At 47.3% G+C, this 25,015-nt stretch overlaps 1 protein-coding gene across 5 annotated transcripts in view, besides 11 other annotated features; it reads left to right on the top strand.

Moving 5' to 3' along the window:
* Positions 667-1,168: an enhancer, noted in NCBI's record as "NANOG hESC enhancer chr17:49219886-49220387 (GRCh37/hg19 assembly coordinates)". NCBI's record gives its function as "activates a minimal SCP1, AML or CMV promoter by ChIP-STARR-seq in naive H9 embryonic stem cells {active_cell/tissue: H9 hESC(naive)}" and the evidence as "EXISTENCE:reporter gene assay evidence [ECO:0000049][PMID:30033119]".
* Positions 7,278-7,478: a silencer, noted in NCBI's record as "peak2888 fragment used in MPRA reporter construct". NCBI's record gives its function as "represses an SCP1 promoter by STARR-seq MPRAs in K562 erythroleukemia cells {active_cell/tissue: K562}" and the evidence as "EXISTENCE:reporter gene assay evidence [ECO:0000049][PMID:32103011]".
* Positions 15,376-15,599: a silencer, noted in NCBI's record as "fragment chr17:49205455-49205678 (GRCh37/hg19 assembly coordinates)". NCBI's record gives its function as "represses an EF-1alpha promoter that drives an FKBP-Casp9 reporter gene in an ReSE screen in HepG2 liver carcinoma cells {active_cell/tissue: HepG2}" and the evidence as "EXISTENCE:reporter gene assay evidence [ECO:0000049][PMID:32094911]".
* Positions 21,474-21,733: an enhancer, noted in NCBI's record as "active region_12400". NCBI's record gives its function as "activates an Ori minimal core promoter by ATAC-STARR-seq in GM12878 lymphoblastoid cells {active_cell/tissue: GM12878}" and the evidence as "EXISTENCE:reporter gene assay evidence [ECO:0000049][PMID:35858748]".
* Positions 22,089-22,903: an enhancer, noted in NCBI's record as "H3K27ac hESC enhancer chr17:49198151-49198965 (GRCh37/hg19 assembly coordinates)". NCBI's record gives its function as "activates a minimal SCP1, AML or CMV promoter by ChIP-STARR-seq in primed H9 embryonic stem cells {active_cell/tissue: H9 hESC(primed)}" and the evidence as "EXISTENCE:reporter gene assay evidence [ECO:0000049][PMID:30033119]".
* Positions 22,089-23,092: a biological region, named in NCBI's record as "H3K27ac hESC enhancer GRCh37_chr17:49198151-49198965".
* Positions 22,343-22,572: an enhancer, noted in NCBI's record as "active region_12399". NCBI's record gives its function as "activates an Ori minimal core promoter by ATAC-STARR-seq in GM12878 lymphoblastoid cells {active_cell/tissue: GM12878}" and the evidence as "EXISTENCE:reporter gene assay evidence [ECO:0000049][PMID:35858748]".
* Positions 22,713-23,092: a silencer, noted in NCBI's record as "silent region_8723". NCBI's record gives its function as "represses an Ori minimal core promoter by ATAC-STARR-seq in GM12878 lymphoblastoid cells {active_cell/tissue: GM12878}" and the evidence as "EXISTENCE:reporter gene assay evidence [ECO:0000049][PMID:35858748]".
* SPAG9 (sperm associated antigen 9) overlaps positions 22,825-25,015 on the top strand; it is a 158,695-nt gene continuing 156,504 nt past the window's right edge. For all 5 annotated transcript variants that reach the window (NM_003971.6, XM_005257771.4, NM_001130527.3 and 2 more), the window contains exon 1: positions 22,825-23,339. In NM_003971.6, coding sequence (NP_003962.3) covers positions 23,037-23,339 — 303 coding nt within the window. In that variant the 5' untranslated portion in view covers positions 22,825-23,036. The remainder of the gene's footprint in view (positions 23,340-25,015) is intronic.
* Positions 23,193-23,312: an enhancer, noted in NCBI's record as "active region_12398". NCBI's record gives its function as "activates an Ori minimal core promoter by ATAC-STARR-seq in GM12878 lymphoblastoid cells {active_cell/tissue: GM12878}" and the evidence as "EXISTENCE:reporter gene assay evidence [ECO:0000049][PMID:35858748]".
* Positions 23,343-23,422: a silencer, noted in NCBI's record as "silent region_8722". NCBI's record gives its function as "represses an Ori minimal core promoter by ATAC-STARR-seq in GM12878 lymphoblastoid cells {active_cell/tissue: GM12878}" and the evidence as "EXISTENCE:reporter gene assay evidence [ECO:0000049][PMID:35858748]".
* Positions 23,443-23,572: a silencer, noted in NCBI's record as "silent region_8721". NCBI's record gives its function as "represses an Ori minimal core promoter by ATAC-STARR-seq in GM12878 lymphoblastoid cells {active_cell/tissue: GM12878}" and the evidence as "EXISTENCE:reporter gene assay evidence [ECO:0000049][PMID:35858748]".

Here is a 25,015-nt window from a genome sequence, read left to right as displayed (position 1 = left end):
TTGTAGAGATGGGTTCTCACTATGTTGGTCCCACACTCCTGAGCTAAAGCAATCCTCCTGCCTCAGCCTCCCAACCTGTTGGGAATACAGGCATGAGCCACCAGGCCCAGCCCAGAGTTCACATTCTTTTTTTTTTTTTTTTTTTTTTGGCCGAGTTTCACTCTTGTTGCCCAGGCTGGAGTGCAATGGCGAGATCTCGGCTCTCTGCAACCTCCGCCTCCCAGGTTCAAGTGATCTCCTGCCTCAGCCTCCCGAGTAGCTGGGATTACAGGCGCCCGCCACCACACTCGGCAAATTTTGTATTCTTAGTAGAGACGGGGTTTCTCTATGTTGGTCAGGCTGGTCTCGAACTCCCAACTTCAGGCGATCTGCCTGCCTTGGCCTCCCAAAGTGCTGGGATTACAGGCTTGAGCCACCGCACCCGGCTCAGAGCTCACATTCTTAACCACCATACTGTGTACCATAGGCTATGATGTCCTCAGAAATCATAGACTTTCCTGGTATGATGAAACCTTAATGGTCACAATCCAAACCAAATTATATCAGTCATGTTTTTCCTTCTATTGAACTATACTACCTTGCTTTGAAAGCCTTTCATTTTCTGCTCTTATCAACAATGATTCTAATACCATCGACCTTTTCTCCTTAAGCTCCTTGACCATCTCTCCACTTATTTTTATATTCTCCTATAACCTTCTTCTTGTTTCCATGTTCTGAGACTAGGTACAATAAAGCCTTTAGCAAAACCACAGGCTCTTTTCCTGTAACAGTCTCTCCACTTACTTTGACCCTGGTACAGTCTTTTAGGCTAAACCTCTCTGGGGGAAAGGATTATGTAGATGAAGAGGCTCAACATTCAGGGTAGTGATTTAGCATTAATCTTCTTGCTTTCATGTGGTTTGACCCTAGACCCTATTGGGAGTCTTTGACAGAGGCCCTATATATTTTGTCTTTACCAATGGTGATTCTTGACTGGCTCCAGGTCTTCTTCGTCCCTTCAGCCTGTCTAGTTTGGAGCTGAATATCATGTAATCTATAATCTCTAGAATACTATTTTTGTTTTTGTTTTTGTTTTTTCAGATGAAATATCGCTGTGTTGCCCAGGTTGGAGTGCGGTGCCGCAATCTCAGCTCACTGCATTCTACGCCTCCCAGGTTCAAGCGTTTCTCATACATCAGCCTCCTGAGTAGCTGGGATTACAGGCATGCACCACCATGCCCGGCTAATTTTTTGTATTTTTAGTAGAGACAGGGTTACACCATGTTGCCCACGCTGGTCTTGAACTCATGGCCTCAAGCAATCCGCCCGCCTAAGCCTCCCAAAATGTTGGGATTACAAGTGTAAACCACTGCAAGCCCGGCTACAATACTATTGTTGAAGTGCCTTTTTGTATTTATCAGGATACGCCAGGTTATGCCGCAACGAGGTTATGCTGCAACGAGACATCCCATGTCTCAGTGGTTTAACAGAACCAAACTTTCTCATTCACCTAAAATCAAGGGCCAGCATCTCTTCAGTTACCTGACCTCTGCAGCGACTCTAAGAACCTTTCCAAAATGTAGCTCTGCCATCTCAGTACAAGGCCTAAGTGTATCACCGCGGAGTAAAGAAAGCTGGAGGATCACACAATACCTATTAAATGGTTGGTTTGGCCTAGAGGTGACACCTATCACTTCCAGCCCATTGACCAAACTAGTCAAATGGCTCTGCCTAAAGCTAAAGGATTTAGGAAATATGCGGGAACACTTGGCTTTCTGTGAGCCAGAGATGTCTTTGCCTTTTTCTCACTAATATATCACACACTGGCCGGGCACCGTGGTTAGCGCCTGTAATCCCAGCTCTTTGGGAGGCCAAGGCAGGTGGATCACCTGAGGTCCGGAGTTTGAGACCAGCCTGACCTACATGGTGAAACCCTTTCTCTACTAAAACTACAAAAATTGGTTGGGCACGGTGGCTCACACCTGTAATCCCAGCACTTTGGGAGGCCAAGGCGGGTGGATGACGAGGTCAGGAGTTCGAGACCAGCCTGGCCAACACAGTGAAACCCCATTTCTACTAAAAATACAAAATTTAGCTGGGCATGGTGGCATGCGCCTGTAGTCCCAGCTACTCGGGAGGCTGAAGCAAGGGAATCGCTTGAACCCGGGAGGTGGAAGTTGCAGTGAGCCAAGATAGAGCCATTGCACTCCAGCCTGGGCAACAGAGCAAAACTCTGTCTCAAAAATAATAAAAATAATAAAATAGGCCGGGTGCGCTGGCTCACGCCTGAAATCTCAGCACTTTGGGAGGTTGAGGCGGGCGGTTCACGAGGTCAGGAGATCTAGACCATCTTGGCCAACATGGTGAAACCCCGTCTCTACTAAAGTACAAAAAATTAGCTGGGTGTGGTGGCACATGCCTGTAATCCCAGCTGCTTGGGAGGCTGAGGCAGGGCAGTCGCTTGAACCTGGGAGGCAGAGGTTGCAGTGAGCTGAGATCATGCCACTGCACTCCAGCCTTGTGATAGAGCAAGACTCCATCTCAAAAATAAATAAATAAATAAATAATAAGTAAATAAATAAAATAAAAATAAAAATACAAAAATTGCTGGGCGTGGTGGTGCACACCTGTAATCCCAGCTACTCAGGAGACTAAGGCAGGAGGATCGCTTGAACCTGGGAGGTGGATGTTGCAGTGAGCTGAGATCACGCCACTGCACTCCAGCCTGGGTGACAGAGCAAGACTCTGTCTCAAAAACATAACAAACAAAACAAAACAAAAAAAACACCAACAAAACAAATATATCAGACATTGCAATCTTTATTATTTTTTTTTATTGTTGTTGTTTTTGAGATGGAGTCTCGCTCTGTCGCCTAGGCTGGAGTGCAGTGGCACGATCTTGGCTCACTGAAACCTCTGCCTCCCAGGTTCAAGCAATCCTCCCTCTGCCTCCCAGGTTCAATCGATTCTCCTGCCTCAGCACCCCCAGTAGCTGGGATTACAGGCAAGTGCCACCATGCCCGGGAGGATTTTTTTATTTTTGTATTTGTAGTAGAGACGGGGTTTCGCCATCTTGGCCAGGCTGGTCTCGAACTCCTGACCTCAGGTGATTCACCCGCCTTGGCCTCCCAAAGTGCTGGGATTACAGGTGTGAGCCACCGTGCCTGGACTATTTTTTCTTTTCTTTTTTTTTTTAAAGACAGAGTCTCACTCTGTCACCCAGGCTGGAGTGCAGTGGTGTGAACTCGGCTCACTACAACCTCTGCCTCCCAGGTTCAAGCGATTCTCCTGCCTCAGCCTCCCTAGTGTTTGGGATTACAGGTGTGAACCACCATGCCCAGCAATTTTTGTATTTTTAGTAGAGATGGGGTTTTGACATGTTGGCCACACTGGTCTTAAACTCCTGGCCTCAAGTGATCCACCCTCCTTGGCCTCCCAAAGTGCTGGGATTACACCATGGGAGCCATTGTGCCCCGCCAAACACACTGCAATCTTTTTTTTTCTATTTTTTTTTCCCTTTTCTCAGCTTTCTGATCTGTTTCTGAAACACTATGATCTTATCTCTTCCTTTCCCAGTCTAGTCCCTGACCATACACTTGTACTTTGGGCTTTAACCTTCTACCTCTAAATGCACTAATTATAGCTTAATCCAATTCTTGTTCTTTGGAGTGTTTTAACCTGCCAGATGACTGTCACAGCTCTTTAACTTACATGCCTTACAGTTGAAATATTTTCTCCCTCTTCTCCATGCCTAACTTTGAAACTTGTCATTTATCAGGAGTTACCTAGCTGACAGTGGTCTGAAAAGACTCCTGAATTTTCTATAGTTGGAGCTTTTGAAAAAAAAATTTTTTTTTTTTGAGATGGAGTTTCACTCTTATTGCCCAGGCTGGAGTGCAATGGTGCGATCTCTGCTCACTGCAAACTCCGGCTCCCAGGTTCAAGCGATTCACCTGCCTCAGCCTTCCAAGTAGCTGGGATTACAGGCACCCACCAACCCGCCTGCCTAACTTTTGTATTTTTAGTAGAGACGGGGTTTCTCCATGATGGCCAGGGTTGTCTTGAACTCCTAACCTCAAGTGATCTGCCAACCTTGGCCTCCCAAAGTGCTGGGATTACAGGCATGAGCCACCTGGTCCAGCCAAAAAAAAAAAATGGTTTTATATAGAGATGGGATCTCACTATGTTACCCAGGCTGGTGTTGAACTCCTGGCCTGAAATGATCCTCCCACCTTGGCCTCCCAAAGTCCCAGGATTACAGGCATGAGCCATTGCTCCCAGCCAATTGGTTACTAAGAGCAAGAAACACTCTTTCTGTGAAGTAGGGTGAAGAAAGAGAGATGGAAGAAACACTGAAGGGATAAAAGCAGGTTTGAACAAATCCTCTGGAAGCCAGGTCCAAGAGTCATTCCTGGTGTGCTATCTCCCTAGGACAGTTTATTATTATTATTTTGTAACAGGATCTCATACTGTCTCCCAGGCTGGAGGGCAGTGGTGCAATCATGGCTCACTGCAGCCTTGACCTCCCAGGCTCAAGTGATCCTCCTATCTTAGCCTCTCAAGTAGCTATGACTACAGGCGCAGGCCACCACACTTGGCTAATTTTATTTTATTATTATTTTTTAAAAATTTTTAGTAGAGACAAGTTCTCACTATGTCGCCCAGGCTGCCTTAGACAGTTTAATACAGGTCAGACATAAAGGGAAAAGGCCACATAACTCTGGCAGAAAAGGGCCTTCCTCTTCCACAGTTTATACACTAGTCCAAATGATTATTAATGTTGTGCTTTTGTTTTTAATTAAACACACTATAAGATTAAACATACTTTAAGCAAGTTTGTCCAACCCACAGCCCAGGGCAACTTTGAATGCAGCCTAACAGAAATTCGTAAACTTTCTTAAAACATTGTGAGGTTTTTTGTGATTTTTTTTTTTTAGCTCATCAGCTATCATTAGTGTTTTCTTTTGTTTTTTTGAGACAGTCTCACTGTCTCCCAGCCTGGAGTGCAGTGATGCAATCTTGGCTCCCTACAATTTCCACCTCCCAGGCTCAAGCAATTCTCATGCCTCAGCCTCCCCAGTAGCTGGGACTATAGGCAGATGCCACAGCACCCAGCAAATTTTTGTATTTTCTTTTTAGTAGAGACAGGGTTTTGCCATATTGGCCAGGCTGGCCTCAAACTCCTGACCTCAAATGATCTGCCTTCCTCGACCTCCCAAAGTGCTGGGATTATAGGTGTGAGCCACCGCACCTGGTCAGTGTCAGTGTATTTGATGTGTGGCCCAAGACAATTCTTCTTTTAATGTAGCCCAGGGAAGCCAAAAGATTGGACACTCCTGATTTAAGGAAACTTCTTTTTTTTTTTTTTTTTGAGACAGAGTTTTGCTTTTGTTGCCCAGGCTGGAGGGCAATGGCCCAATCTCGCCTCACTGCAACCTCCGCCTCCCTGGTTCAAGCAATTCTCCTGCCTCAGCCACCCAAGTAGCTGGGATTACAGGCATGCGCCACCACACCCAGCTAATTTTGTATTTTTAGTAGAGATGGGGTTACTCCATGTTGGTCAGGCTGGTCTCAAACTCCCAACCTCAGGTGATCCACCCACCTTGGCCTCCCAAAGTGCTGGGATTACAGCCATGAGCTACCATTCCTGGCCAAGAAACTCAAAAGAAAGAAAAATTAATTCTCCCAACCTAAAAACTGTCATTGTTTGCATACTTCTTTCCAGTCTTGATTTTTATATGTTTGTAATTATATCAAACATACAACTAGCAAATGAGCAATTCCTTTAAACGGTGTGTATCCCTGAGAAGAGAACACATAAAGTGTTAGTCGTTTATGTCATAGTAAGAATTAGTTAAGGGAGCCATTTTTTTTTTCTTTAACAACCGATTGGAATCTGTACACTAAAAGTTGGGTACAGAAAAGCAGGGGAGGGGTAGCTGATAGGTTGGTGGGAAGTACTGCATTTGAGACTTTGGGTAACTCATGGAACAAGCAATCCTTAGGTCTTGGGGAATGGAGGCCATGGGGGTAGAATATCAGAATTAGAAAAAGGAGTAGAAGAGGGAAATAGTTGGCTTCAAAAGCAAATTTTGCCGACCTAAACATTTTAAGATCTGGTGAACAGGATCTTAAAACGCACCTATTCCAGCTGGGCACGGTGGCTCATGCCTGTAATCCCAGCACTTTGGGAGGCCGAGGTGGGCAGATTACCTGAGGTCAGGAGTTCAAGACCAGTCTGGCCAACATGGTGAAATCCCGTCTCTACTAAAAATACAAAATTACTTGGGCATGGAGGTGCGCACCTGTAATCCCAGCTACTCGGGAGGCTGAGGCAGGAGGATCGCTTGAACCCAGGGAGTGCAGGTTGCAGTGAGCCGAGATGGCGCCATTGCACTCCAGCCTGGGCAACAACAGCAAAACTCCATCTCAACAACAACAACAAAACAAACAAACAAAATCCTTACCTATTCCAACTCCCATGTTTTGTTTCTCTTGACCACATCCCTGCCATATGCTGTCCAAGTCAGGTGTGAAAACTGCAGTGGTGGAGACTCCACTATTTCCCAAGATCCCCCTAACCATTTTTGGACAACTCCCACTGATATTTTTTAAGTTCTTTTATTTTTTATTTTATTTTTTTTGAGACAGAGTCTTGCTCTGTCGCCCAGGCTGGAGTGCCAGTGGCGTGATCTCACCCACTGCAACCACCACTTCTCAGGTTCAAGCGATTCTCCTGCCTCAGCCTCCTGAGTAGCTGGGATTACAGGCGTGCACCACCACGCCTGGCTAATTTTTGTATTTTTAGTAGAGATGGGGTTTCACCACGTTGGTCAGGCTGGTCTTGAACTCCTGACCTCATGATCGGCCCACCTTGGCCTCCCAAAGTGCTGGGATTACAGGTGTGAGCCACCGCATCCGGCATGTTTTTTTTTGTTGTTTGTTTGTTTGTTTGTTTGAGACGAGTCTCGCTCTGTCATCCAGACTGGAGTGTAGTGGCGGGATCTCGGCTCATTGCAACCTCTGCCTCCCGGGTTTAAGCCATTCTCCTGCCTCAGCCTCCCAAGTAGCTGGGACAACAGGCCCGTGCCACCACGCCTAGCTAATTTTTGTATTTGTAGTAGAGATGGGGTTTCACCATATTGACCAAGCTGGTCTCAAATTCCTGACCTCAAGTGATCTGCCTGCCTCAGCCTCCCAACGTGCTGGGATTACAGGCATAAGCCACTGCGCCCAGCCTAAAGTTCTTACATTGAGAAAAAATGCATGTCTTGAAAGCTTTGGTTATCATCCTCCCTCTAGCTGTCTCTCTATATGACACGCTATTTGAAGACAGCTCACTAATGTCACAGGCTGCTCTTCAATAGCATGATCGTGTCCAATGACTTCAAACTTTCTTCTTATCTCAAGACTTCAAGTCCCCTCTCCAACAAGGACACTTTCCTCAAAAATACCTGGCTACTGTAGTTTTCAAGGGATAAAAGTCAGCTGGCATTAACACTTAAAAAGCAAATATGGCATCCTTCTAAGAGACTGGAAAGCCTGCTACAGATATGCTGAGTGTGCTTTTGAAACAGTAACATGCAGGCCAGGCATGGTGGCTCACACCTGTAATCCTAGCACTTTGGGATTACAGGCCAAGGCAGGAGGATCACTTGAGGTCAGCAGTTCCAGCCAGCCTGGGCAACATAATGAGATCCCGTCTCTACAGAAAAAATGAAAAAATTAGCTGGGCTTGATGGCACGTCTCAGCTACTCAGGAGGCTGAGGAGGAAGGCTTGCTTGAGCTCAGGAGTTCAAGACAAGCCTGGGAAGATCATAGCTTACATTTTGTATTAGTCCATTTTCACAATGCTGACACAGTTCCACGTGGCTGAGGAGGCCTCATAATCATGGCAGAAGGTGAAAAGCACATCTTACATGGCAGCAGACAAGAGAAGAGAGAGCTTGTGCAGGGAAACTCCGTTTTGTTTTGTTTTGTTTTGTTTTTGAGACTTGAGTCTCACTCTGTCACCCAGGCTGGAGTGCAGTGGCGTGATCTTGGCTCACTGCAACCTCCACCTCCTGAGTTCAAGCGATTCTCCTGCCTCAGCCTCCGAAGTAGCTGGGACTATAGCTACTAAAAATACAAAATGTATTTTTAGTAGAGACAGAGTTTCACCAGATTGGCCAGGCTAGTCTTGAACTCCTGACCTCAGGTGATCCACCTGCCTCAGCGTCCCAAAGTGCTGGGATTACAGGCGTGAGCCACTGAGCCTGGCTGAAAACTCCGTTTTATTTTTTTGGAATGAAGTCTCGCTCTTGTTGCCCAGGCTGGAGTGTAATGGCGCGATGTTGTCTCACTGCAACCTCCACCTCCCAGGTTCAAGCGATTCTCCTGCCTCAGCCTCCCAAGTAGCTGGGATTACAGGTGCCTGCAACCATGCCCAGCTAATTTTTGTATTTTTAGTAGAGACAGGGTTTCACCAGGTTGGCCAGGCTGGTCTCGAACTCCTGACCTCAGGTGATCCGCCCACCTTGGCCTCCCAAAGTGCTGGGATTACAGACATGAGCCACCGCACCAGGCAAAAACTCCATTTTTTAAAACCATTAGATCTCATGAGACTTATTCACTATCATGAAAACAGCATGGGAAAGACCTGCCCCTGTGATTCAATTATCTCCCGCCAGGTTCCCCCTAAAACACGTGGGAATTATGGGAGCTATAAAATGAGATTTGGGTGGGGACACAGAGCGAAATCACATCACATTTATTGAATATTTATATGCCAGGCACTATTCTAAGTGCTGTGTGTATATTATCTCATTTAACCTTCACAAAAACCCTATGAGATAGGTACTGTTTTTCTCAACCTCATTTTACAGGTCAGAAAACAGGTAGAAAGAGTAACTTCAGGCCAGGCACGATGGCTCACGCCTGTAATCCCAGCACTTTGGGAGGCCGAGGTGGGCGGATCACGAGATCAGGAGATCGAGACCATCCTGGCTAACACAGTGAAACCCCGTCTCTACTAAAAATACAAAAAAATTAGCCAGGCGTGGTGGTGGGCGCCTGTAGTCCCAGCTCTCAGGAGGCTGAGGCAGGAGAATGGCGTGAACCCGGAAGGCGGAGTTTGCAGTGAGTCAAGATCATGCCACTGCACTCCAGCCTGGGCGATAGAGCAAGACTCTGTCTCAAAATAAAAATAAAAATAAAAGAGTAACTTCACAGCTAGTAAGTGGCAGAAGCACAGTTCAGACTCCGCAGCTAACCCCAGATCCTTGCACTCTCAGTTGTTCTTGTTTGTTGCTGATGCTTGATGAAGATTTTGAATTTTAACAAAACAGTAAAGAATACATCCCTCTGGGGCTGGGCATGGTGGCTCACACCTGTAATCCCAGTACTTTGGGAGGCCAAGGGGGGGATGGATCACCTGAGGTCAGGAGTTCAAGACCAGCCTGGCCAACATAGTGAAACCCTGTCTCTATTAAAAATACAATTAGCTGGGTGTGGTGGCACACACCTGTAATCCCAGCTACTCGGGAGGCTGAGGCAGGAGAATTGCTTGAACACAAGCAGAGGTTGCAGTGAGCCGAGATCGTGCCACTGCATTCTAGCCTGGATGACAGAGCAAGACTCCATCTGAAAAAAAAAGAAAAAAAGAGGCGGGGTGCGGTGGCTCATGGCTGTAGTCCCAGCAATTTGCGAGGCCGAGACTGGCAGATCACCTGAGGTCAGGAGTTCGAGACCAGCCTGACCAACGTGGTGAAACCCCATCTCTACTAAAAATACAAAATTAGCTGAGTGTGGTGGCATATGCCTATAATCCAGCTACTTGGGAGGCTGAAGCAGAAGAATTGCTTGAACCCAGGAGGTGGAGGTTGCAGTGAGCCGAGATCACGCCATTGCACTCTAGCCTGGGCAACAAGAGCGAAACTCTGTCTCAAAACAAAAAAAAGAATATATCCCTATGGGTCTTGATGTCTACTAATTTCATAGTGAACAACAGAATGTTATCTCCTTATATTCAACATTTAACTTACATTATAATGGGATATCAGCCCTGAATATGTCCTCTTCTTCTGGAACTATGGTCTCGTGTCAAACATGTGCTATTATTTAGCTTTTGACTAAGGAATGTGGAACAATGGAGATACAATGAGGCACTGGGCTGAGAGTCCAACATAGCCACAAACTTACATGTGACTGTGGATGATTCCTCAGTTATAAAATGAGTGAAATGGACTCCACTCACTGCTGGCTACGGGTCTCCTCATACTGAAATTTCAAGTCCAAAGGAGTCATTCTCCCATTGGGAGGTTCCAATACTGTGGCAGAAAGAAAGAAAGAGCAAATATATATCTTGAAAGGGGCAGACTCTCTTGTGCCCCTTGAGTCACACATATTAGTTGAAATGAATAAATATTTGTTCCCTGCTTCTGATGTGTGAGGCTGTTGATGGGCAATAGTTACTATGCTTAGGTTTTCAACTGGCTCTGTTGCCCCTACTAAAAATAAACCACAGGGTGTTAGGGCTGAGTCATTTTCATACATGAATATGTGGAGGAAAAAAGTGACAAAGGTCACAGGGGATCTATGGATTATTTCCTTTCTGACCAGACACCACCCCTTGTTCCCAACCAGCCCCTCTTTTTCTGTTGTATTTCAGATAAGCTGTAGACCTTAAATAGAACATATATTCCACAGCATGTTATTGTGTTCCAGTTTGTTCATATCCTGTTCTCTGCTTGTGGATTGAACTTGTCCTTAGACCTGGGATTTTTTTGTTTTGTTTTCTATTTGTTTTTTTTTAGACGGAGTCTCGCTCCATTACACAGGCTGGAGTGCAGTGGCATGATCTTGGCTCACTGCAACCTCCACCTCCTGGATTCAAGCGATTCTCCTGCCTCAGGCTCCCAAGTAGCTGTGATTACAGGTGTGTGCCACTACGCCCAGCTCATTTTTGTATTTTTAGTAGAGACAGGGCTTCGCCATGTTGGTCAGGCTGGTCTCAAACTCCTGACCTCGGGTGACCCACCTACCTCGCCCTCCCAAAGTGCTGGGATTACAGGCGTGAGCCACCGTGCCCAGCCTAGACCTGGGTTTTTTATGTTTTTGAGGAATAATGGTTGATGTTAGCAACACTGGTAACTGGACTTTGCAGCTTGCAAAGTGATTTCATATACATGGTTTCTTTGGAACAGTTGGTCATCCCCCTGGTGATGGGGCAACTTGGGGACAAGTTCCTGGTATTCGTTTAAGGTAGTAAAGTCTTATTGGAACAGGACTCATCCTAGGGTTTTGTTTTAGGGTAGTTTTTCTATTCAGCTTTTGGGGATTATTTCTCACCTTCTTGAACCTCCTTTTTCCACTCTCCTCTCCCCAGGGCCAGTGCCCTCATTTTGCTTGCTGCTCAAAGCCTTTAACCCTTTAGGCCCTAATTTCCTCAGCAATAAAATGGGAGGAAAGGTTGGGAAGAAAAACACTAAAGTTCTTTCTTTCTTTCTTTCCCTCCCTCTCCCTCCCCTTTCGCTTTCCCTTTCCCTTTCCTTTCTGACGGAGTCTCATTCTGTCACCCAGGCTGGAGTGCAATGGCGTGGTCTCAGCTCACTGCAACCTCCGCCTCCTGGGTTCAAGAAATTCTCCCACCTCAGCCTCCTGAGTATCTGGGACTACAGGCACGTGCCACCACACCTGGCTAATTTTTGTATTTTTAGTAGAGACAGGGTTTCATTATGTTGGCCAGGCTGAGTCTCCAACTCCTGACCTCAGGCAATCCGTCCGCCTTGGCCTCCCAAAGTGCTGGATTACAGGCGTGAGCCACTGCGCCCGGCCCCAAGTTCTTTCTTAATCTTCATTTTTCTCCCCAAATTTGCTTTCCTAAGAAGTAGTGATATAAATCCCAAAATTAGCTCAGGTTTCTTTCCCTTACCCAGCAAAATTTGCATTCCCTTAGGGGAGGATATTTCAAATAGCTATTTGGTAGAAACAGTTGACTAAAGAAAATATAAAGGGTAGGCCAGGTGCAGTGGCTCACACCTGTAGTCCCAGCAGGTGTGAACTACTGCGCCCAGCCTATCTCCTTTGAGAGGCCGAGGCAGGCAGATCACTTAAGCCCAGGAGTTTGAGACCAGCCTGGGCAACATGATGAGACCCCCGTGTCTACAAAAAAATACAAAAAATATATATCATGGGTAAATATTGGGCCAGCTATGGTGGTTCACACCTGTAATTCCAGCACTTTGGGAGGCTAAGGCAGGAGGATCAATTGAGGCCAGGAGTTCAAGTTTGCAATAAGGTATGATAGTGCCACTGGGAGTGCACTGGAGTTAGCCTAGATGACAGAGTGAGATCCCGTCTCAAAAAAATAAAAATAAAAAGGGTAAATGTTGGATGATGTGTTTCACAAAATAATTCTTCCTAGGAGTATTATTTACAAATAAGACTTTACTACATTTATAAATTAATGACTTTAAAAGATTTGTACAGCCACCATTATTTTTTGAGATTCAATCCAGAAGTATCTCAAACCAAAGGAGTCCAAAATGAATTCACTGTTTTATTTTCAAAAGCTGCTTTCCTTCCTGAATTAGCTATTTTGATTGCTGGGACCACCATTTACCCATTTACTCAAACCAGAAATCTGTGAGTCCCCTCTCTATCACCCTCTAAAACTACCAAGTTCTGTTCATTAGATTTGTCAAATGTTTCTCATACCCAAACCATTGCCATTATATTAATATTAGCATAGAGGGGCCAGGCACGGTGGCTCACACCTGTAATCCCAGCACTTTGGGAGGCTGATGGGGGGCGGGTGGCGGGGGCGTGGATTCCAAGGTCAGGAGTTCGAGACCCGCCTGGCCAATATGGTGAAACCCCGTCTCTACTAAAAATACAAAAATTAGCAGGGTGTGGTGGCAGCCACCTGTAATCCCAGCTACTTGGGAGGCTGAGGGGAGAAAATTGCTTGAACCTGGGAAGCGGAGGTTGCAGCGAGCCAAGATTGAGCCACTGCACTCCAGCCTGGGTGACAGAGCAAGGCTCCATCTCGGGAAAAAAAAAAAAATACACATTAGCATAGAGGATGGGGAGGCATCTATGAAGACTAGACAGACAGAGATTGAATGCAAACAGAAAGATCTAAGTAAGATCAGCTTAAACATATGCACCAAGACTAGCACCAACCACAGCTTTGTTGTTGTGGTTTGTTTGTTTTTGAGAGAGGGTCTTGTTCTGTCACCCAGGATAAAGTGCAGTGGCACAATCATAGCTCACTGCAACCTCAAATGCCAGGCCTCAAGCAATCCTCCCACCTCAGCTTCCCAAATGCTGAAACTATAGGCATAAGCCACCACAACTGGTCTCACTTTTTAGTCTGGAAGATTGGCGAGACGGAAGCAAAAAAACAGGAACGGGCTAGGCGCAGTGGCTCACGCCTGTAATCCCAGCACTTTGAGAGGCTGAGGCAGGTGGATCATGAGGCCAAGAGATCGAGACCATCCTGGCCAACATGGTGAAACCCCATCTCTACCAAAAATACAAAAAATTAACTGGGTGTGGTGGCGGGCACCTGTAGTCCCAGCTACTTGGGAGTCTGAGGCAGGAGAATCACTTGAACCCAGGAGGCGGAGGCAGAGGTTGCAGTGAGCTGAGATTGTGCCACTGCACTCCAGCTTGGCAACAGAGCAAAACTCCAACTCAAAAAAAAAAGACAACAGGAATGAAGAGAATAAAACTGTCAGATATGTGCCCACATTTTTGGAAGTCCAGGTTTCATCCCAGAGAGTAGGAGATGGGCTGGATAATGGAAAGTAATCCTGAGGGCCCTACCCTCTTCTCATTTGGGGTTCAGAAAGATGCTGCCCTGAAGACCACCCCATACCAATCTAAAAAACAAGCGTATCAAACTGGCTGTGCTGTGGGATCAGGCCATGGAAGGCTCAGAGGTTTATCTTTCCCCACCCTAGCCTGGATGCTGGGGTAGGGTGGGTGGTAGACAGCAGGTGGCTCTGAGGAAAGGGTTGCAGTGAAGGCTACCATCACAGCCACACTTCAGAGATGACTTGGGTAGCATTAGAGTCAAAGGTGGCCAAGTTATACAGGGAACAATGCGAAAAGAATGGATTCTGAGTTCTAGTAGCTCACAGCTACAACTCTCAAGGCCAGTTGGATATTCAGAGACCAAGAAAACAAGGAACATTGTTTTGAGACCAGAAGACAGAGAGCAAAGGTCACTATATGAATCCAAAGTCTCCATAAATCTTTATCCACCTTGATCAAGTAACAGAAGCCATATTCCACTCCCATACTTTTTCTTTTTTTGAGGCAGAGTCTCGCTCTGTCACCCAGGCTGGAGTGCAGTGGCACGATCTTAGCTCACCGCAACCTCTGCCTCCTGGGTTCAAGTGATTCTCCTGCCTCAGCTTCCTGAGTAGCTGAGATCACAGGTGTCTGCCACCATGCCCAGCTATTTTTTTGTACTTCTAGTAGATACTGGGTTTCACCATGTTGGTCAGGCTGGTCTTGAACTCCTGGCCTCAAATGATCCACTCACCTTGGCCTTCCAAAGTGCTGGGATCACAGGCATGAGCTACCACGGCCGGCCTATATTTAGCAAATTTTCTTCTTCTTCTTTTTTTTTTTTTTTTGAGATGGAGTCTTGCTCTGTTGCCCAGACTGGAATGCAGTGGCGTGGTTTCAGCTCACTGCAACCTCTGCCTCCCGGGTTCAAGCAATTCCCCTGCCTCCGCCTCCCGAGTAGCAGGGATTACAGGTGCCTGCCACCATGCCCAGCTCATTTTTGTATTTTTAGTAGAGACGGGGTTTCACCATGTTGGACAGGCTGGTCTTGACCTGACCTCGTGATCCTCCCGCCTCAGCCTCCCAAAATGCTGGGATTACAGGTGTGAGCCACCGCGCCTGGCCATATTTAGCAAATTTTCTTCTCTCTCTCTTTTTTTTTTTTTTGAGACGGAGTCTTGCTCTGTCGCCAGGCTGGAATGCAGTGGTGCGATCTTGGCTCACTGCAACCTCTGCCTCCCAGATTCAAGCAATTCTCCTGCCTCAGCCTTCTGAGTAGCTGGGACTATGGGCGTGCGCCACCATCCCCAGCTAATTTTTGTATTTCTAATAGAGACAGGGTTTCACCATGTTGGCCAGGATGGTCTTGAGTTCTTGACTTCGTGATCCGCCTGCCTCAGCCTCCCAAAGTGCTGGGATTACAGGCGTGAGCCACCGTGCCTGGCTCATATTTAGCAAATTTTCTATAGTGAGTATGCATTTCTTGTATAATTGGGAGGGAAAAACCCAAGCAACCTGAGGTAGGAGGCAGGGACTGGACTCCAGAGGCAGAGGTTGGACACTGGACCAAACTGAGGACTAGCTTAAAAAAGCCCCAAGGCAGAAGCAGTTTTCTATAAGACACACCCACCAGCGTGCCCTGTCAGTTTACCATTGCCATGGCAACACCCAGAAGTTACCACCCATTTCCATGGCAATGACCCAACAACCCAGAAGTTACAACCCTTTTCCTAGAAATGTCTGCATAAACTGCCCCCTATTTTGCATGTGATTATAAGTGGGTAAAAATATGAGTGCAGAACTGCCTCTGAGATGCTATTCTGGGCACACCGACTATGGGGTATCCCTGCTCGCTAGGAACAGTACCTCTGCTGCTGCTATACACTGCCACTTCAATACAAGTTGCTGTTTAATACCACCAGCTTGCTCTTGAATTCTTTCCTGGAGGAAGCCAACAACCCTCCCTGGCTAAGCCCCAATTTGGGAGCTTGCCTGTCCTGTATCAAACCTACTGTTTTGAAAATATGTCTTTTATTCCCAGATGAATGCAACTCTATGTGTACAAAGTATACTGAGAGGTGGTGGTGGGCCTCCTCTTCATCCACTCAGCCCAAGTCAGAAAAAGTGGAGAGAGAAAATAGACCTGCACACAAATATGACCGACATTCCTTGGCCCCATCAAAAACAGCCTCAATACTGGGATTCCTGCTTCAACCATGTGTACAGCCTCTTCTTAGAGGCAATTCCAGTGAATCCAAAGCTCTTGGGGAACAGGGAGTAAAACAGAATAGTTATTGTCTAGAGGCCTTCTAACTTCAACCTGGATACATTTACCCATCTTGTTTTGGCACATTAAAAAGGCTTTCAAGGACAGACATAGTGGCTCACTCCTGTAATCCCAGCACTTTGGGAGGCTGAGGTGGGAGGATCACTTGAGCCCAGGAGTTTGAGACCAGCCAGAGCAACAGAGCCAGACCTTGTCTCGATAAAAAGTAAAAAAATAAATTAGCCGGGGTGGTGGCGTATTTGTAGTTAGTAGGCTGAGGTGGAAAGATCCCTTGAGCCTGGGAGGTCAAGGCTGCAGTGAGCAGCGATCGTGCCACTGTGCTCCAGCTTCAGTGACAGAGTGAGACCCTGTCTCTTAAAAAAAAAAAAAAAAAGAAAGGCTTTGGCCAGGCATGGTGGATCACGCCTGTAATCCCAGCACTTTGGGAGGCCGAGGCCAGTGGATCACTTGAGGCTTGGAGTTCGAGACCAGCCTGGCCAACATGACAGAACCCTGTGTCTACTAAAAATATAAAAATTAGCTGGGTGTGGTGGCATGCACCTGTAATCCCAGCTACTCAGGAGGCTAAGGCATGAGAATCGCCTGAACCTGGGAGGTGGAGCTTGCACTGAGCTGAGATCTTGCCACTGCACTCCAGCCTGGGTGACAGAGTGAGACTGTCTCAAAAAAAAAAAAAAAAAAAAAAAAAAAACTGAGGGCAGTGGCTCACGCCTGTAATCCCAACACTTTAAGAGGCCAAGGGGGGCAGATTGCCTGAGGTCAGGAGTTTGTGATGAGTCTGGCCAACATGGTGAAACCCCATCTCTAGTAAAAATACAAAAAAAATTAGCTGGGTGTGGTGGCGTGCACCTGTAGTCCCAGCTACTCGGGAGGCTGAGGCAGGGGAATTGCTTGAACCAGGAAGGCAGAGGTTGCAGTGAGCTGAGATTGCGCCACTGCACTCCAGCCTGGGTGACAGAGCGAGACTCCGTCTCAAAAAAAAAAGGCTTTCAAAGGAAAAACTGAGGACTCAGAAAAATACCCTGGTGCTTTTCATTCTGAGCCTGGAATTCCATAGCTAGACTGCCTCACCAAACATATGTTAGTTTGTACCCAGTGATGAATTACTTATCATTTCACACTGCCATGACCAGAGGGCCTTGTGCCCGGGGAACCCCATCTTCTCTTCCTTTTTCAGTGACTCTCTCCTTGCAGGTGGGAAAATGTCATTTGTGAAACTAGAGAAATTGATTCACATAGAAATAACTATATATGTTCCAGAAGGCTGGACAAACAACAGGACTAGTAATTTCAGCCTTCCAGTGATTATAGTTATTATGCTTAGGAAGAAACTCCTCCCTTCCTGCTCTCATTAACTGCTCCCCTCTGCTGCCCCCGTGACTGTCCTCACTATTTTTGCAAGGCCAAGGAATCTCTTGAAATGGAATTTCCTTCCCTGTAGGAATCAAAAGTAAACACTTTACTCTAAAGTCCACAAGATGACCTATTTTTCCTTAACAACTCTTAGTTAATGATACTCTCATTGTGGGTCAGGGGTGGAAGTTGGGAATCTATCCAGCCAATTGAATATAGGAGGTAGTAGTACTGCCTACATAAGAAGGAGTTCACTAACGGGACTCAATATCAAGACCCTGTCTCCTGTCTGTCATTACAACCTATTATACAAGAGAATCATAGGATTTTAGAACTGCAAAAACCCTTTACAGGCCAGGCGCGGTGGCTCATGCCTGTAATTCCAGCACTTTGGGAGGTCCAGGTCAGTGGATCACGAGGTCAGGAGATCGAGACCATTCTGGCCTGTAACATGGTGAAACCCCATCTATACTAAAAATACAAAAATTAGCTGGGCGTGGTGGCACATATCTGCAATCCCAGCTACTTGGGAGGCTGAGGCAGGAGAATCGTTTGAACCTGGGAGGCAGAGGTTGCAGTGAGCTGAGATCGCACCACTGCACTCCAGCCTGGCGACAGAGTGAGACTCCATCTCAAAAAAAAAAAAAAAAAAGGCGGGGGCGGGGGGGAGCTAGGTATGGTGACTCACGCCTGTAATCCCAGCACTCTGGGATGCCGAGGTGGGCAGGTCACCTGAGATCAGGAGTTTGAGACCAGCCTGGACAACAAAGTGAAAACCTGTCTCTACTAAAAATATAAAAATTAGCCGGGCATGGTGGCAGGCGCCTGTAATCCCAGCTACTCGGGAGGCCAAGGCAGGAGAATCACTTGAACCTGGGAGGCAGAGGTTGCAGTGAGCCAAGATCATGCCATTGCACTCCAGCCTGGAGGACAAGAGAGAGACTTCATCTCAAAAAACAAAACAACGAAAAAATGCCTTTACAGATTTTTCTTTTTTCTTTCTTTCTTTCTTTCTTTTTTTCTTTCTCTTTTTTTCTTTCTTTCTTTCTCTTTCCCTCTTTCCCTTTCTTTCTTTTTTTTTTCTCTCACTCTCTTCCTCTTTCTTTCTTTCTTTATGGAGTTGTGGTATTGCTCTGTTGCCCAGGCTGGAGTGCAGTTGTGCCATCACAGCTCATTGCAGCCTCAACCTCCTGGGCTCCAGTGATCCTTATAGCTTAGCTCCCCAAGTAGTAGCTGGGACTACAGGCCTGCATCAGCACAACCTGGGCTTTATTTTTTATTTTTATTTTCAGAAATGCTCTGGCTATGTTGCCCAGGCTTCTCTCAAACTCCTACCCTCAACTGATCCTCCCACCTCAGCCTCCCAAAGTGCTGGGACAGATTTTCTAACAAACCCCTTCATCATACGGATGAATAAGCTGAAGTTTACAGCCCTTATCCTTGTGACTGTCACTAAGTGGGTAATCAGTAACTACTTGCTCTTTTGTTTATGGCCTAAGTTGTTCAAAATGACCAGTCCATACTAGAATACAAGGTTCCTAATTTCAACACCAGTTTCTTTCACCTCAATCATACTGAGTGATGTGCTTTCATTGGGTCTACTATAAAAATCATTATAGCCATAAATTTTATTTATTTATGTATTTATTTGAGATGGAGTCTCGGTCTATCGCCCAGGCTGGAGTGCAATGGCATGATCTCAGCTCACTACAACCTCTGCCTCCCAGTTCAAGCGATTCTCCTGCCTCAGCCTCCCGAGTAGCTGGGATTACAGGTGCACGCCACCATGCCCGGCTAATTTTTGTATTTTTAGTAGAGATGGGGTTTCACCATGTTGGCCAGCTGGTCTCGAACTCCTGACCTCAAGTGATCTGCTCGCCTTGGCCTTCCAAAGTGCTGGGATTACAGGCATGAGCCACCACGCCCCACCAGCCATAACTTTTACTTCATATATTTTTTTAATAGCTTGAGATATAATTCACATACCATATGATTCACTCATTTAATGTGTAAAGTTGAATGTCTTTTAGCATATTTTCAGAGTTGTGTATTCACCATTATAATCAATTTTTAGAACATTTTCATTATCCTAAAAAGAAACCCCATACCTATTAGCAGGCACTCCCATTTCCCCTCATCTCACCCTCTCATGCCCCTGAGACCTAGCCAATCACTAAATTCACATTTCATACGAATGGAATTGTACAATATGTGGTCCTTTGTGACTGACTTCTTTCACTTAGCTTTTTCAAGATTCAGCTGTATCTCTGGGCATGGTGGCTCACGCCTGTAATCCCAGCACTTTGGGAGGCCAAGGTGGGTGGATCACCTGAGGTCAGGAGTTTGAGATCAGCCTGGCTAACGTAGTGAAACCCTGTTTCTACTAAAAATACAAAAAATTAGCCGGGTGTGGTGGCGCACACCTGTAATCCCAGCTACTCGGGAGGCTGAGGCAGGAGAATCGCTTGAACTTGGGAGGCGGAGGTTTCGGTGAGCTGAGGTTGCACCATTGCACTCCAGCTTAGGCAACAAGAGCGAAATTCCATCTCAAAAAAAAAAAAAAGATTCAGCTATGTCATGGCATGTACTTAAAATTTTTGTTTTCTTTTCTATTCTTTTTTTTTTTTTTTGGAGACGGAGTTTTGCTCTTGTTGCCCAGGCTGGAGTGCAATGGCTCGATCTTGGCTCACCACAACCTCCGCCTCCCAGGTTCAAGCGATTCTCCTGCCTCAGCCTCCTGAGTAGCTAAGAATACAGGTGCGGGCCACCACGCCCGGCTAATTTTGTATTTTTAGTAGATACAGGGTTTCTCCATATTGGTCAGGCTGATCTTGAACATCTGACCTCTGACCTCAGGTGATCCGCCCGCCTCGACCTCCCAAAGTGCTGGGAGTACAGGTGTAAGCCACCGTGCCTGGCCAAAAAAAATTTTTTTTTTTTTTTTTGTCAGGGATGAAGGTCTCACTATGTTGCCCAGGCTGGTCTCCAACTCATGGCACAAGCCATCCTCTTGCAAGTGCTGAGATTACAGGCGCGAGCCACCACGCCTACTCCCCTCCCCTCCAACGACTTTCTTTTTATTGCCAAATAATAGTCCATTGTATACCTATGTCACATTTTATCCATTCATCAGCTGATGGTTATTTAGCTGAATTTTATTTTAACTAAATGTTATCTCTGATAACTGGCAGAAGCTTAAAATCAAGACATAAGTGTGTATCTTTCTATGTTGAACGTATACCTAAAGAAGTATACTTATTAGGAATGACAATTAAAATCTCGTACTTGAAAAATCGATACTTTTTTCTTTTTTCTTTTTTTTTTTGAGATGGAGTCTCACTCTGTCGCCCAGGCTGGAGTGCAATGGTGTGATCTCTGCTCACTGCAACCTCCGCCTCCCAGGTTCAAGCTATTCTCCTGCCTCAGCCTCTTGAGTAGCTGGGATTATAGGTGTGCACCACCATGCCCGACTAATTTTTGTACTTTTTAGTAGAAATGGGGTTTCACCATATTGTTCAGGCTGGTCTTGAACTCCTGACCTTGTGATCCACCCGCCTCGGCCTCCCAAAGTGCTGGGTTACAGGCATGAGTCACCACGCCCGGCTGATACTTTTTTCTTTAAATTTTTTGATGTGTATGATAATATTGTGGAAAGAAAAAGTAAAGCCTTGCCCTATGTTTTTTGGCTCTTCTGATCCCCCAGGAAAAGAGAGGCATGCATATAGGTAGACCAGGTGAGTGACAGCCCTCAGGAAGAGAAAATAAAAGAGGAGAGATTCAGATCAAGACTTTTTCTAGTTTTCAAATATGAAAGGTTAAGAAGAGAAAGGGCATTTGCGGCTCACAGCCAACCAGCTGGTCGGCATTCCTACTACCCAAATATCTAAATGACATAAGGGTGAATGTGGGGTGAGGGTGAGAACGGGAAAAAACACAGGCCGCAAATTCAGTCCCATCTGGCACTTCATAAGACTTAGTATTTTCATCTTTGTCCTTCCAAATTTATAGGTTTACTCTTGCCCAACCTTCATATTGTTTTTATGGGTCTCCAGGTGGGTCATGCGTAGGAAACTTTAGGGGACTACTTCATACTTGGTGGGAAGTACTTAAACTTGTAAACCCCAAGCTAAGGGTAGTTATGATCCCGGTGGGTGGCCAATTCTCCCCTTAAACCTATGTTTATCCTGCCTTTCCTCCCCCTTTTCTTAAACGAGTCGGGACGGAGAGCTGAGTCACCTGAGACACAGAGAAGGGACTTTTGAGAGTGTCTTCCGTCCCATTTGCGGACGTTAGATGAGCACACCGGGATCCTTGACTCAGCCCGCTCTAGGCGTGGGCGTTGTGTCATTCCCCACACGTGACACTCTCCCAGGCGGCAGAAACCTCACTTGTCATGGGACTTATTCACTCCAGTGACTCCACCCCTTACCTCCTCTGTTCCCCAACCTCCCACTTACCCTTTCCGCCCCACTTCAAGACTTGAGGAGAGGAGGGTGGCTGGAGCCTGGAAATGTCCCCGTCCCAAGTTGGCCAGAAGTAGCAGACACACTATGTGGGAAAGTGCCACATGTAACGTTCCAGTTTCACCCTTCTCCAGAATGCTATCACCCTTCCTGTTTATTTTTTAATAACTTGAGATATAATTCACACGCCATATGATTCACTCACTTAACGTGTAAAGTTGAATGTCTTTTAGCATATTTAGAGTTGTGTATTCATCACTATAATACATTTTTTAGAACATTTTTATTATCCCAAAACGAAATCCCATACCTATTAGCAGTCACTCCCATTTCCCCTCATCTCACCCTTGCTCTTCCATAGCACAAAACAGTTCTATTCTATTCGAGACCACCTTTCCACTTGGGCAGACCCTGGTTATGGTTTTTTTTCCCTCCCTTTCTGTTTCCAGTTTTTTTCGGAGCCCGGAATTCTCAATCTGGGTAATTGGTTTGAGTCCCGGCTCAGCCCGTTTCCCGTTGTAGCTGCGTGACCTTGAGAGCAACGCCACTTTCCTGGGCCTAGTTTCTTTGTCTGTGAAACGAGGTCCAAATATCTACCTCTTTACGCCTGTTGTGGGGATGAAGTGAGTAGGTGCTTTGTGAGCTTTAAAAAGCCATAGAAATGCCAGCTAAGTTAACTCGTCACTCTTCCCGAACCCCTCCCTTTCCCCTGGGACCCGCCCCGCGAATCCCGCTGTGGATGGATACTTCTCCCCACCCGCCGACCGCAGTCTTTCCCATTGGCGCCCGCACCGTCTTCGCGGCGCCGGGTGTTGACGCCATGGCTTCCTCCGCCAGCGCCCGAAGACGCTTGGCCCCGCCCCCGGCCGCGCCTGGCCTCCCGCGGCGCCCCGCCCATCGGGCCGACGCGGCGCCGGCCCCGCCCCGCGGATGACGTGTGGCGCGCGCGGCCGGGCCGCCCCGGCAGTTGGTGCAGCGGCGGTTGGGGTGAGAGCGCCTACGCCACCCCTCCCCTCCTCCGGCCCCGGCCCCCACCCCGCCGGGCCCAGCCCCAGCCCCGGCCCGGGCTCCAGCCCTAGTACCCGTCCCAGCCCGAGTCGGGTCCGTCCCGTGCGGGCAGGTGCCGCCCCTCTGCCGGCGACGCCCCGGGCCGCCCGCCCGTCCGCTTGCCACCATGGAGCTGGAGGACGGTGTGGTGTATCAGGAGGAGCCCGGCGGCTCCGGGGCCGTGATGTCGGAGCGGGTGTCCGGCCTGGCCGGCTCCATCTACCGCGAGTTCGAGCGGCTTATCGGGCGCTATGACGAGGAGGTGGTCAAAGAGCTGATGCCGCTGGTGGTGGCTGTGCTGGAGAACCTGGACTCGGTGTTCGCGCAGGACCAGGAGCACCAGGTGGAGCTGGAGCTGCTGCGGGACGACAACGAGCAGCTCATCACCCAGTACGAGCGGGAGAAGGCGCTGCGCAAGCACGCTGAGGAGGTGAGGCCGGCGGCAGGGCGGGGGCCGCGGGATCCGTCTCCGGGGGCGGCCGGGGCGGGGTCGCGGCCCGGTCGGGGACTAGAGGCGCGACGGGCCTCCTGGAGGGCGGGCCTGAGGCCGATGCCCCCTGGGACCGATCCCGGCGGCCTCCAGGTACCCCGGGAGCCAGGCCGGCGTTGGAAGCCGAGGCCGGCTACTGAGTGTCCTGGGAAGGGAGCGAGATGGAGGAGGCAGGGCCCGGGGAGGAAGCGGCAGCCTGGCCTGAGGACACCTGGGGTTGGCCAAGGGCGGAGATTGTTGGGTGTCTGGTTGCTTCTTGTTGAGGGAAGTTTCCGACCACCGTGGGATAGTCAGATGGCGGTTCAAAGTTTTACCCTTGGGGAGGGGGACACTTCTGCCCTGGATATGTAACTTCCGCTAGTTCCAGTACCTTTCCAGGGGGTTGCCTTGCTTTGGGAAGTTAGAGATCTCCCTCTTTCGGTCAGTTTCTTCTTGACGTTTTAATCTTGTTGAGAAAGACGTCTTATTTTATGTTCTATGTGCCTTGGTTGACACTTTGTCAACTTTTAGATGTTGTGTGGCAGTACTCAATAAATATATAAACAATTTCGTTGGTATCCCAAACCAAAGCATTCCTCCGTATCAGGTTGTAACCTTGGACAGTTCCCTTCAAAAACCCTCCGTTTATTTATAAAAAGGATTGGGGGGCGGGGTTGGGAAGATGTAGGTGACAGTTGGCAACACTTTTTCCGTCTGAGTTTCCTTCTTAGACTGCTGTTTATACGTGCATTTGGCCACCTGTTAACTCTAGCACCCGAGCAGTGACCTGGGCGCCCTCACCTCGACTCTGTGAACCTTTTGGAGTTCTAGGGTGCAAGTGATAGGTCCTTGGCTTCTTGAGACTGACAAGGAGTTTAGCTTTCAGCCTGCGTTGGCGTTATTTCTGTGGACCTTATCAAAGGCAGGTGATGTGTCCTATTTTTGTTTCTCAAGCACCTAGCACACCTGCTTAAATACATGGTGATCAAAGGAGGCGAAATAACTAATTATTGAAGGAATGACATAGTATTTTTCAAAAAGACTTGAAGAGTTTTTAGGATGTGAGGTTTGTAGCTCATTTCCTGACACTGAATAGTAACACCATTAAATTTTTGTTTTATTTTGTCACGTATACCTTTGCATCTGGTTAAATAGTTCTTTTTCCTTTTTTAAAAGCTTGACTGTAGTGATGATTTTTAGTTCTGATTGTGGGATCCAATTTTCTCAAAGGAATGCTATTGAATTTGCCAAACAAAATTGCCTTTTTTTTTTTTTTTTTTTGAGACGTAGTCTCACTCTGTCGCCCAGGGTGAAGTGCAGTGGAGTGATCTTGGCTCACTGCAACCTCTGCCTGCCGGGTTCAAGCGATTCTTGTGCCTCAGCTTCCTAAGGAGCTAGGACAACACTCCCCGCTCATTTTTGTTTTTTGTAGAGACAGGATTTCTCCATGGTGCCTAGGATGGTCTTGAACTCCTGGCCTCAAGTGATCTGCCCACTTTGGCCTCGGGCTGACCATCCCAGTGCTGGGATTACAGGCATGAGCCACCGCACCCCGCCAGAATGGACTATTTCAAGAGCTTTTCCTTTCATATAGGGAAGGAAGGGATGAAAAACCAAATAATGATAGGATCACAATT

Source organism: Homo sapiens, chromosome 17 (assembly GCF_000001405.40).
Source record: "Homo sapiens chromosome 17, GRCh38.p14 Primary Assembly".
NCBI lineage: Eukaryota > Metazoa > Chordata > Mammalia > Primates > Hominidae > Homo > Homo sapiens.
Note: the sequence above shows the minus strand (reverse complement) of the source record. Positions and strands in the feature narration are given on the sequence as shown.